The following is a 13,324-nucleotide window of genomic DNA, read 5'->3' on the forward strand; positions in this document are numbered from 1 at the left end:
CATACCTCAGCCTTCTGAGTAGCTGGGACTACAGGTGTGCACCACCACGCCCAGCTAATTTTTGTATTTTTAGTAGAGATGGTTTCACCATATTGGCCAGGCTGGTCTTCAACTTCTGACCTCAAGTGCCCTGCCTGCTGCAGCCTCCCAAAGTGCTTGGATTACAGGTGTGAGCCACCACACCTGGCCCTGACTACATTTTTAAAAGTGACAATAGGCAGGGCAGTGGTGGCTAACGCCTGTAATCCCAACACTTCAGGAGGCCGAAGTAGGAGAATTGTTGAGGCCAGGAGTTCAAGACCAGCTTGGTCAGCATAGCAAGACCCTGTTTCTATAAAAAAAAAAAAAGAGAGAGAGAGAGAAATTAGGTGGTGGTGTGCGCCTGTAGTTCCAGCTTCTTGGGAGGATTGCTCGAGCCTAGGAGTTTGAGGGTACAGTGAGCTAAGATCACACCACTGCACTCACACCTGGGTGACACAACGAGACCTTGACTTAAAGAAAAAATTGACAACAAACAAAGTAAAAAGACAAGTCACATATTGAAAGCAGAAATTTGCCTGGCATATAATATAAAGAGAATGATTAATATTGAAAGAACTGTAACAAATCATTGAGGAAAAAAGCAACGATGTTTTAAAAATGGTCTAATCACACTTGTAATCCCAGTGACTCTGGTGGCTGAGGGAGAATTGCTTGAGGCCAGGAATTTGAGACCAGCCTGGGCAACATAACAAGACCCCATTCCCAAAAATAACAATTTTAAAAATTAGTTGGGTAGTGTAGCCCATGCCTGTAGTCCCAGCTACTTGGGAGGCTGAGGCAGGAGGATCACTTGAGCCAGGCAGTTGAAGGCTACAGTGATGAGCTATGATTGCACCACTGCACTCCAGCCTGAGTGACAGAGTAAGACCCTGACTCTTAAAAAAAAAGAAAAAATTGACTTAAGAATATGAATAGTCCATTCATAGGAGAAGAAACTGAATGGCAGATAAATACAGGAAAATATACACAAATGTCAAAATAAAACAAAAAGTACCCTTTTATACCTATTGTATTATCCAAAGTTAATGTCTGATAATGCCAAGTGATGGTGGGCAAATGGAGGGAAAACTCAGCACTGAGTATAAATTGATCCAACTATTTTGGAAAACTTTTGGCAATACTTAAGTTGAAGATGTAATTTTCCAACAACTCAACAACTGCATACTTAGATGTCTACCCTAGAGAAATCCTGATATATACACAAGGACACATGGACATAAATATTTATTGTGGCCAGGCACAGTGGCTCATGCTTGTAATCCTAGCACTTTGGCAGCCCAAAGCGGGAGAATTGCTTGAGCCTGGGAGTTCAAGACTAGCCTGGGCATCATGGCAAAACCCCATCTCTACAAAAAGATAAAAAATTAGGCAGGAGTGGTGGTGCACCCCGTAGTCCCAGCCACTTGGGAGGCTGAAGCAGGAGGATCACTTGAGCCTGGGAGGTGGAGGTTGCTGTGAACCGTGATCACGCCACTGCACTCCAGCCTGAGTGAAAGAGTGAGACTCCATCTCAAAAAAAAAACAAAAAACGTAGCACGAATTTTCAACTTTTAGTTTTAGAATGGATATATACAGTTTTTTAAAATAGAACATGTGATAGCATCTCAGAAACATGTTTAAAAACTAGTTTCAAGTGCATATGGAAAGTATGATACCATTCATACAAATTTCTAAAATGTACAAACAATATGAATATTGTTGACAGATAGATATTTTTGTAATAAAAACACAAGCACACAAAATTCAGTTTATTAGTTGCTTCTTAGGACAGATGGAGAGAAAAAGCTATAGGAGCTGTAATGTTTTATTGTTTATAATGTTTTATTTCTTTAAAAAGAAAGCTCTAAGATAAATGTAAAATGTTAACATTTGTTCAATTTGAATAGGGCAAGTACATAAACTTATCTTTGTACTTTTGTATGTTTGAAACTTATATTATCTTCTGTACTTTTGTATGTTTGAAATATAGGATTCAAAGTAATGTTTAAAAGAAAAGACCTGGCCAGGCGCGGTGGTTCACGCCTGTAATCCCAGCACTTTGGGAGGCTGAGGCAGGCGGATCACCCGAGGTCAGGCGTTCAAGACCAGCCTGGCCAATGTGGTGAAACACCGTCTCTACTAAAAATGCAAAAATTAGCTGGGCATGGTGGCATGTGCCTGTAGTCCCAGCTACTCGGGAGGCTGAGGCAGGAGAGTCGCTTGAACCCAGGAGGCAGAGGTTGCAGTGAGCCGAGATCGCGCCACTGCACTGGAGCCTGGGTGACAGAGCGAGACTGTGTCTCAAAAAAATAATAATAAATAAATAAATAATAAAAGAAAATACCTGGACTTACAATAATCATTTCATAAGAAAACATTGTATTTTAAAAGGCTGCAACTTTAACAAAATTAAACTTGTCCCAACTTGTCTTGGGGCAAACTTAAAATGTCAGTATTTTTCTAACAAGCAAAAAAAAAAAAAAAAAAAAAAAACCCACACAAAATTGGAGAAAATTTAATGAAACCACATGCCCTGGAAATATTTGAATTGGTTTGTGGCCTGGCGCAAAAGAAGAAAACTGAAGCCATGCCAATTTTAAAGTTATAACCTCTTTTTGAATAACTGATCTTTCTTCTAATATTTGGAAACAGATCCCTAAACTGGCTCCTAAACTGCTTTACTTCAACAGGCATACAGCTGGGCAAAACTGCAATGCCTCTCATTTTAACCAGCTCTTGATTGTCACCTTTTATTTGTGCACTGGTGCCACTGAAGAAGTATTCCAATTGTTCTGATTTCCTTTTGGAAACTTGACAAGCCACTGCCATTTTCTTTCTTTCTTTTCTTTTTTTTTTTTTAAGACAGAGTCTTGCTCTTGTTGCCCAGGCTGGAGTGCAATGGCACGATCTTGGCTCACTGCAACCTCGGCCTCCTGGGTTCAAGCGATTCTCCTGCCTCAGCCTCCAGAATAGCTGGGATTACAGGCACCTGCCACCATGCCTGGCTAATTTTTATATTTTTAGTAGAGGCGGGGTTTTGCCATGTTTGCCAGGTTGGTCTCAAACTCCTGACCTCGTGATCCACCTGCCTTGGCCTCCCAAAGTGTTGGGATTACAGGCGTGAGCCACTCCGCCCAGCCGCCACTGCCATTTTCAAAATGGTGAAAACATGTCTTTGTCAAGGAAGATGTTGTAGACGGAATGTTTTGGTTTTCTGGGCACAGATTGAGCACCTGAGAGTCTCAGTAACACACCTGGTTTGGCTGCTTTGCTGAAGACACTCCGTACATTGTGACTTGTTGCTCTCACCATCAACAGGAATTGGGCTGTGCAAGCAATTCTGAAAGAAGTGTTGTCTACTGCTGTGAAAGTCATCAACTTTATCAGACCCCAGTCCTGACCCCAGCCTTTTCAAGAAATTTTGTCTAGAAAAAAGATCACAGTAGAAAATTATTCTCTATTGCACATAGTTTACTGACTTTCCAAGGAACAAATGGTAAAGTATGTAACTGAACTTCATGGGGGCAGAGGGAAAGCAGGTAACTGATCAGAACGGTTTAGGAGTTCTTTCATGGTTTTGTTACATCATAGATGTTTTTGGTCACAAGACTCAGATAAATTTTTTGATTCAAGATCGTAGAGTATTATGTATGCTGCTAAAAGAACCAACTCTTATAGCTCAGCCATCGTTTCTTTAGTTCCTACCTAATGGAGATGGGTTATAAACTTCCCAGCATGGAGGAAGGACTTTCTATTGTCTGAAGCCCATTGAGAAAGTCTTATTCATTTCTCTGCAAGCAGATGTCTTCAACACCTGAAACACCACAGAATTCTTTTGAGTGTTACTTGTGCTCAGATGATTCATGTTTAATGAGTACCTCACCAAAGATGGCTCCATTGATTTACAATGGTTATGATGAGATATGAATTCAATTCAGTCTTGGAGTTTTGACCTATATGAGTCAATGTGTTCAGTACTTCTTGCCATGCAAACAAAAAAACAACTGGATGACATAGATGATGTAACATCTAGATTTTAATCTAAAACATAGATTCAAATCAGAAGGATTTTTTCACTGGAATTCACTATTGAGCAAAGTAAAGGTTGCCTTTTATTGACACACTTGAATTTAAATTACTGAAGATAATATTTTGCATAACATAATTTATAGCAGTAATTTTTTGATTACGACAAGCAGGACACTATGCTAATCACTGCATATATAGTGTATTAGTTCATTCTTACATTGCTATAAAGAAATACCTGAGGTTGGGTAATTTATAAAGAAAAAATGTTTCATTGGCTCATGGTTTTGCAAGCTGTAGAGGAAGCATGGTGCCAGCATATGCTGGGTTTCTGGTGGGGGCCTCAGGGCGCTCTTACTCATGGCAGAAGGTGACGGGGATACAGCATGTCACATGGTGAGAGTGGAAGTAAGAGAGAGAAGGGGGAGGTCTCAGACTCTTAACTGGATCTCACATGATTTAACTGAGCAAGAACTCACCTATGACCAGGCAAAGATGCTAAGCCATTCATGAGGGATCCTACCCCAAGATCCAATCCCCTCCCACCAGTCTCCACCTCCAACATTGGGAATCACGTTTCAACATGATATTTAGAGAGGACAAACATCCAAACCATATCCATGTTTAACCCTGTAACAGTCCTATGAGAGGAGCATTAGTATTACTTTTCTTGGACTGATCAGAGCAGTGAGACATAGAGAGATTAAGTAGCTTGTCCTGTGTTACACAGCTAATACATGATAAAGCCAAATATTTCAGCACATTTGTGTGATTCCAGAGCCCATCTTTAGATTATACATAAAAGGAATCAATTTTCTGGGCAATAAAATACACAGAATACAAACACCACAGTTTCTGTACATTTTTCTCTAAAAGATTTGCTTTGATTTCTTCAAAATTTCAGGGCTTCATAATCAGCAAAAGACAATCACTCATCTAGACAAACCACATAATTTGAGCTCCTTAAAGAGTCTTTCTCTCTCTTTTTTTTTCTCCTCCCTCTTTTTGCATCACAGTGTCTGGAGTACAGCAGGTGCTATATGTATAAATATTTGTCAAATGGCATACAATCAGGATGGCTGTCCTGAGGCGGCCCCAGAAACAAGCTCACTGTCTCCTAGGGCTGTACTTGGGATGTGAGGGCAGTTTGTGGTGGGGAAGTATTCCTTGGTATATGTACCATAGCCGGTGTTTGACCTTCAGTCTTGCAGCTTCAGAACTTTTGATTTTATCCATTTGAAGAGCCTATTATTGATGGCTCAGGGACACAGTTACATTAATGTTGACAGTTTGCCTGATATATCAGAGCCAAATAATTCATTGATCTATAATGAAAAACATGAAGGTCAGAAACACAGGACTGTTAAAGTTGTTACGATCAGCATGTGTTCTCCAAGAAGGCAGACCTACATGGGAATGAAAGCATAACTGGAGTTTACCTGGTAAATATGAAGAATGAACAAGAGGGGTTGATTAGAGGATTCCAGTGTTTACTGGACTCAGCTAAGAGAGCCTAAGGCATCCATCTCCATAAATAAGGAAAGCCCTGCCAAAGTGCATAGAGCAGAATTGCTCTCCCCAGGACCTTTGCCATCCAACTGTTTGCTAAGGAGGCCAACCAACGCTGCTACGATGAACACATTCATTCTTTGTATATGCTAATTATTTTAGTCTGGTTATGGTCATGTTTTATTGGTCAGATCTCTTTTAGGTGAATTTGCATATCTCTGTAAAATCCATTTTTTCAACTTTTCAAAGTTCAGTTCTTCCAAGGCAATTTTATTGGTGGGTGTTCTACTATAACTTTAGTGTACTAATGACTAACATTTTTGAAGGCCACTCAAAAGAGGTCTAGTCCCTTTATCTTCCATTGAAAATTGCTCCTAATTTTAAAGTCAATATGTAAACCACATGAAGAAAATAATTACAGTCCTTCACTCAATAAACATTTTGGGGGCATACTTACTGTGTGCCAGCCTTGCTCTATGCAAGTTACTGTTCTAGGCAATGACATACAAAGAGGAATGATAGCTCCAACTTCAAGGAACTTGCAGGTGTGTAAACACATATGTAAATAAAAACAAGATCATAAAAGAATATCTATACAAAAAAGACTTGTAAACAAAATGATATTCAGTTCTAAACAGAAATATGAACAAATTACTGTGGGAAGCACAGAATGAAAAAAGAGATGGCTTCACCAAGAATAAATAGATTTTTTCAAATAGACAAGATAGGGAAATGCTTCTAACAGATGAAACCATTCATGCAAGCCCACAAAGATGTAAAGTGCCTACAAGGAATGGGGAAGGTGGTGCCCTGGAAGGCCGGAAGTGGGAACAAAGATGGGTTAGAGGAGACACGGGCATAAGGATGAGTCTAAATTCTTCAGGGCCAGAGGTGCAGGAGACCTTTCCTACCTCCCTGGAATACTCAACTCTCCTTACTTGCCTCCTGTACCTCTGGCTATTAATTTTCTGTCTCTTTCAGAAGCTTCAGTTTTCCTCAGTTCATTCTTTAAATCAGCAATTTAAAAAATAAGTTTTTGAATGCATAATGCATGTATGTAGCACAATATTCAAAAGCTATAAGGGCAAAGTGGAAAAAATCCTATTCCCGATAGCTAGCCACGCAGTTCTGCTCTCCTGCTTCCTGAGACAATCACTGGACCAGCTTCCTGCACATCCTCCCAAAAAGTCTCTACATAGGCAAGCATATACGTGTATGCATGTGTGTATGTGTGTGTGCATAGGTGTGTATGTAAGTTTTTCATATATAATTATTCACATGGAGAATAGAATATTAATGTATCTTGAATTCTTCACTCTAAAATAGATTTTGAATATCTTTCCATTTTGATTCATTATTTTATTCATTTATTTGACAAGTATTTACTCAATGCCTACCATGTGCCAGGCACTCATGTGGTGAAGATACAGCAGAGGACAAAATAGGCTAAATCTCTGTCTTATGGAACTGACATTCTAGTAGAAAAGTTGCAGGAAAAACAGACAAAAACTGAATAAGCAATGAAATATATATAGTAAGCCAGGTTGTGATAAGAGCTGTGGAGAAAAATAAAGCTGGAAGAGTAGAAGTTGAAGAGTGGCTGTGAGGATCTAAAGGATGCAGACAGCGAGCGAGAGACTTTATTGTTTATTGGTCCAGTAGCATTCTATGATTATACCACAATTTGTATAATCAGCCTCCTTCTGATAAACATTTACATTGTTTCTAATATTTTGCTGTTCCAGTGATAAATTTGTATACAAGTCATCGGATACATTTGAGAGTATATTTGTAGATTAAAATCCTAGAGGTGGAATTGCCATTTCAAAGGGTCTGTGCAGATTGATTGACTGATTGATTTTTGAGGCAGTCTCGCTCTGTCACCCAGGCTTGAGTGCAGTGACACAATCTCGGCTTACTGCAGCATCCACCTCCTGGGTTCAAGCAATTCTCCTGCCTCAGCCTCCCAAGTAGCTGAGGCTACCAGCATGCACAACCACACCAGGCTAATTTTTGTATTTTTAGTAGAGACAGGGTTTCACCATGTCGGTCAGGCTGGTCTTGAACTCCTGACCTCAGGTGATCCACCCACCTTGTCCTCCCAAAGTGCTGGGATTACAGGCGTGAGCTACCGCGCACAGCCTGCAGTTGTAATTTTAACAGATATTGCCAAATTGCTCTATTTTCTGTAAGCTTTCTGTTCATATTCTTTAAAAAAAATTGTTCAAATTTTTGCATGCACGTGTGTGTGTGTGTGTGTGTGTGTGTGTGTTAGGGGATTGCTTTTGTTTGCTTTTTTTTTTTTTTTTTCATTTTTGATTTGTAGGAACTACTTAGTAAGGAATTTAGCTCTTTGTCTGAGATGTGGGTAGTAAATATTTTACCCAATTTGTCAGTTCTCTTAACTAGGTTTACAATGCATGAAGAAAACGTTTATTGTCTTGTAGTTCAATTAAACAGTCTTTTTATGGCTTCGTAATTTTTTTTTAATCTGCAATGTTTTCTTCTAGTACTTTCACAGTTTTTAACACTTATGTGCTTAGTTCATCTGAAATTCATTCTGTATGAGGTGTGAGGCATGACTCCTGACATGGTTTGGCTCTGTGTCCCCACCCAAATCTCATCTTGAATTGTAATCCCCATGTGTTGAGGGAAGGACCTGGTGGGAGGTGACTGTATCATGGGGGCAGTTTTCCCCATGCAATTCTCCTGATAATGAAGGAGTTTTCATGAGCTATTGAGAGGCGACAGCATGCTGGCTGCCCTTGCAGCCCTCGCTGACTCTTGGTGCCTCCTTGGCCTCGGAGCCCACTCTGGCCGCGCTTAAGGAGCCCTTCAGCCCGCTTAAGGAGCCCTTCAGCCCGCCGCTGGACCGAGAGAGCCCTCCTCTGGGCTGGCTGAGGCCGGAGCCCGCTCCCTCGGCTTGGGGGGAGGCGTGGAGGGAGAGGCACTGGCGGGAACCGGGGCTGCGCATGGCGCTTGCGGGCCACCTGGAGTTCCGGGTGGGCGTGGGCTTGGCAGCCCGCACTCGGAGCGGCTGGCCGGCCCTCCCGGCCTGGGCAGTGAGGGGCTTAGCACCCGGGCCAGCAGCTGTGGAGGGTGCGCCGGGTCCCCCAGCAGTGCCGGCCCACCGACCCTGCGCTCGATTTCTTGCTGGCCCTAGCTGCCTCCCTGTGGGACAGGGCTCAGGACCTGCAGCCCGCCATGCCTGAGTCTTCCCCGACCCCCAACGCCCTGGGCTCCTGCGCAGCCTGAGCCTCCCCAGGAGCGCCGCCCCCTGCTCCACAGCGCCCTGTCCCATTGACCGCCCAAGGGCTGAGGAGTCCGGGCGCACGGCGCGCGGGACTGGCAGGCAGCTCTACCTGCGCTCCCGGTGCGGGACCCACTGGGTGAAGCCAGCTGGGCTCCTGAGTCTAGTGGGGACTTGGAGAACCTTTATGTCTAGTTAAGGGATTGTTAATACACCAAGCGGCACTCTGTGTCTAGTTCAAGGTTTGTAAATGCACCAATCAGTGCTCTGCGTCTAGCTGATCTGGTGGGGACTTGGAGAATCTTTATGTCTGGCTAAGGGATTGTGAATACACCAATCAGTACTCTGTGTCTAGCTCAGGGTTTGTAAATGCACCAATCAGCACTCTGTATCTAGCTAATCTAGTGGGGAGGTGGAGAACTTTTGTGTCTAGCTCAGGGATTGTAAACGCACCAATCAGCACCCTGTCAAAAAGGACCACTCAGCTCTCTGTAAAACACACCAGTCAGCTCTCTGTAAAATGGGCCAATCAGCAGGATGTGGGTGGGGGCCAGATAAGGGAATAAAAGCAGGCTGCCCGAGCCAGCAGTGGCAACCCGCTCTGGTCACCTTCCACCGTGTGGTAGCTTTGTTGTTTCACTGTTTGCAATCCACCTTGCTATTGCTTACTCTTTGGGTCCACACTGCCTTTATGAGCTGTAATACTCACTGCGAGGGTTTGCAGCTTCACTCCTGAAGCCAGCCAGACCACGAACCCACCGGGAGGAACGAACAACTCCAGACGCGCTGCTTTAAGAGCTGTAACATTCACTGCGAAGGTCTACAGCTTCACTCTTGAAGCCAGAGAGACCACGAACCCACCAGAAGGAAGAAACTCCGAACACATCCGAACAGCATAAGGAGCAAACTCCAGACACGCTGCCTTTAAGAACTGTAACACTTACCGCTAGGGTCCGCGGCTTCATTCTTGAAGTCAGTGAGACCAAGAACCCACCAATTCCAGAAACGATATGATGGTTTTAAAACTGGCAGTTTTTCCTGCTCACTCTGTCTCCTGTCTCCATGTAAGACGTACTCTGTTTCCCCTTCACCTTCTGCCATGAGTTTAAGTTTCCTGAGGTCTCTCCAGCCATGCGGAACTGTAAGTCAATTAAACCTCTTTTGTTTATACATTACCCAATTTCAGGTAGTATCTTTATAGCAGTGTGAGAATGGAATAATACAGCTCCAATTCTTTTTTTTCCAACTGCTACCCAGTTGTCCCAACCCTATTTATAGAACAATTTATCTTTTCTCCGCAATTTTGAAGTCCTACTTTTTTCATCTGCCAAATTCAAATAAGCATTTTGGTCCAATTTGGATTTTTTATTTAACTCTATTGATATGACTACTCGGTTATGCAACAAATATGTATTAAATGTGTCAGGCATTGTTCTATACATTATCAGTACCACATTTTGCAATGTTTTAGCTTATAAAATATATTTTACTGTCTGGTAGAGAAATGCATCTCATTTTACTTATTTTTAAAGAGTTTTCCTGGCGTTTCTTATTTGTTTTCCGTTTGAACTTTAGAATCAGTTTATCTGGTTCCCAAATAATTTGGTATTTTTATTGGGATTACACTACATTTATAGATTGATTTAGGAAGATTGACATGGTTGTCATGCTAAAATTTCCTGAACGAGAACAATATGGGTCTTTTGAAACATCTTTTTTGTGTTTCCTTAGGTAGTGTTTTAATTTTCTTCACACGAATCTTTCACATTTCCTATTTTATTTTTTTCAGCTTTTTTTTTTTTTTTTTTTTTTGTGAGACAGGGTCTCACTCGTCACCAGCCTGTGCAATGGCGTGATTTCGGCTCACTGCAACCTCCGCCTCCCTGGTTCAAGCAATTCTACTGCCTCAGCCTCCCAAGTAGCTGGGATTACAGGCGTGTGCGCCACTGTGGCCAGCTAATTTTTGTATTTTTATTATCTATTTGTTTATTTTGAAACAGAGTCTCACTCTGTCACTAGGCTGGAGTGCAGTGGCACGATCTTGGCTCACTGCAACCTTCGCCTCCTGGGTTCCAGCGATTATCCTGCCTCAGCCTCCCGAGTAGCTGGGACTACAGGCTTGCACCACCATGCTCAAGCTAATTTCTGTCTTTTTAGTAGAGACAGGGTTTCACCATGTTGGCCAGGATGGTCTCGATCTCTTGACCTCGTGATCTGCCCGCCTCGGCCTCCCAAAGTGGTGGGATTACAGGCGTGAGCCACTGCGCCTGGCCTTTTTGTATTTTTAATAGAGACGGGGTTTTGCCATGTTGGCCAGGCTGGTCTCAAACTCCTAGCCTCAAGTGATCTGCTGTCCTCGGCTTCCCAAGGTGCTGGGATTGCAGGGATGGGCCACCATGTTCAGCCGTGTCTTTTTTTCAGCTTTTTAAAAATTATTTTATTGTTTCTGACAGTTTTTCATTTGGTTCTTTTTAGTTTTCCAGATAATCATAGCATCAACAAATGACAATTTTGCTTTACTTTTTCCAATTTCAATTTTATTTATTTCTGTTATCTAATTGTGTTGGCTGAATAACAATGGTGATAAAGAAGCTCCTTTGCTTATTATTGATATTAATGGGAATGCTACTCTGCTACAAGCTTCTTTGTTATAGTTAGAAACAAAAGTCTGTGGCCAGGTGCTGTAGCTCATGCCTGTAATCCCAACACTTTGGGAGGCTGAGGTGGGAGGATCGCTTAGCTCAGGAGTTCAAGACCCACCTGGGCAACATAGAAAGATCTCATCTCTACTAGAAATTTAAAAAAAAAAAAATAGCCAGACATGGTGGCATGCACTTGTAGTCCCAGCAACTCAGGAGGCTGAGGTGGGAGAATTGCTTGAGCCCAGGAAGTTGAGACTGCAGTGAGCTGTGATCATGCACTGCACTCCAGCTTAGGCAACAGAGCGAGACCCTGTCCAGAGAAAGAGAGAGAGGGAGAAATCTCCAATGAAAAGTTTTTAAGTCGTCAAACGTGGGGTGCTTATCAAGGACCAAAGTCTTTCAACATGAAAAGGTTTATATATAGGTATTTTCTGGTGATGGGGATTTATCATAAGAATGTTTGGGAAAGTGAGGGGGATAAAAAACCTTGGCAGCATAGTTGCTAATTACTCTTCATCTCACTTTTTTTTGCCATCCTAACACTACAGTATCCTCACATTTCTACACACGTAAGGTAGTCTGAAATGTACTTCCTCAAGGGTTACAGGAAAGGAAACTTAATTGATAGGAATTATACTTTCTTGCTTTGAAATTACTCATTCCTGAATGGATGTACTGGTGAATAATGAAATTCCCAGAGAACAAGAATAGGAAAGCACTACGAGATCCAAGTGACCTGATAGTACACCAACTCATCAGTCCTTAATTAGCCAAAATTTGGCCTTGGAGACTTTTTCCTCAAACATACAAAAATTTGCCCCCACTTGACTAATCTGTCAATACTCAAGAGTTCTTGTCTAAAAACATTGCACAAAACAGAGATTGTGCAAAGGCTTTCATTTTGATCCTCCACGGTGCCTCAAATATAACAAATGTTAAAAAAAAAAAAAAAGATCTGTTGAATGAGTGAATGTCACGTAATTAGTGCACTGTGTGTGGTTTTATATTAGTGATATGTTGCAATGTATTTTGAACAATGAAAGACTTTTGTCTGACAAATGCATTCGTTTTTAAAAGATGATAAATGTGGCCAGGTACGGTGGCTCACGTCTGTTATCCTAGCACTTTGGGAGGCCAAGGTGAGCGGATCACTTGAGGTCAGGAGTTTGAAACCAGCCTGGCCAACATAATGAAACCCTGTCTCTACTAAAAATACAAAAAAAATTAGCTGGGTGTGGTGGTGGGCAACTGTAATCCCAGCTACTCAGGAGGCAGAGACACAAGAATCGCTTGAATCCGGGGGATGGAGGTTGCAGTGAGCTGAGATCACACCACTGCACTTCAGCCACGGCAACAAAGTGAGACTCTGTCTCAAAAGAAAGATGATAAATGTAGTTTCTAAATATCATATTATTATAAGAATATCATGTTTGTTGATTGCTAACAACTGGTTTTGTACTGAAACTTTATTAACTATCATGGTGAAAATTTACTCTGTCCTCTGCTATTTTATTTTTTCTTTTCCTTTTAAAACACCCAAAAGGCACTATAACCCTCTGTTATTTATTAACGCACATATGTTGAGGTGAGGACATTTCTAAGCCCCCAAATTGCTGACTTTGCAATGTTTTAGTGTCTGTTTGTTTTTTCTTTTATGTTGCAGTGGTGCGAATAAAGAGCCGAATAACTTATGTACTACTCTACATGTGATAGGACAAAACTAAGAAAATTTTAATAGGCTGGAAAAGGTTTGTCAAAACAATCTCTTTGGTTTAATTCTTTAAACTCTTTTTAGCTAGTCATTTGATGTGAGCCATTGCAAATAAAATGACTTAATCCTGGAAATGCAAATAATTCATCTTCAAATCAATTGCTA

At 41.7% G+C, this 13,324-nt stretch overlaps 1 long non-coding RNA gene across 1 annotated transcript in view, besides 1 other annotated feature; it reads left to right on the forward strand.

Annotated features, from left to right (window-relative positions):
- Positions 1-13,324, forward strand: part of PPP1R12A-AS2 (PPP1R12A antisense RNA 2) — an 89,875-nt gene that overhangs the window by 12,408 nt on the left and 64,143 nt on the right. The window contains exon 2 of the long non-coding RNA NR_187531.1: positions 13,112-13,196. This is a non-coding gene — a long non-coding RNA (PPP1R12A antisense RNA 2). The remainder of the gene's footprint in view (positions 1-13,111; positions 13,197-13,324) is intronic.
- Positions 8,163-8,671: an enhancer, noted in NCBI's record as "H3K27ac-H3K4me1 hESC enhancer chr12:80104382-80104890 (GRCh37/hg19 assembly coordinates)". NCBI's record gives its function as "activates a minimal SCP1, AML or CMV promoter by ChIP-STARR-seq in naive H9 embryonic stem cells {active_cell/tissue: H9 hESC(naive)}" and the evidence as "EXISTENCE:reporter gene assay evidence [ECO:0000049][PMID:30033119]".

This window comes from Homo sapiens, chromosome 12 (genome assembly GCF_000001405.40).
Source record: "Homo sapiens chromosome 12, GRCh38.p14 Primary Assembly".
NCBI classification, from domain to species: domain Eukaryota; kingdom Metazoa; phylum Chordata; class Mammalia; order Primates; family Hominidae; genus Homo; species Homo sapiens.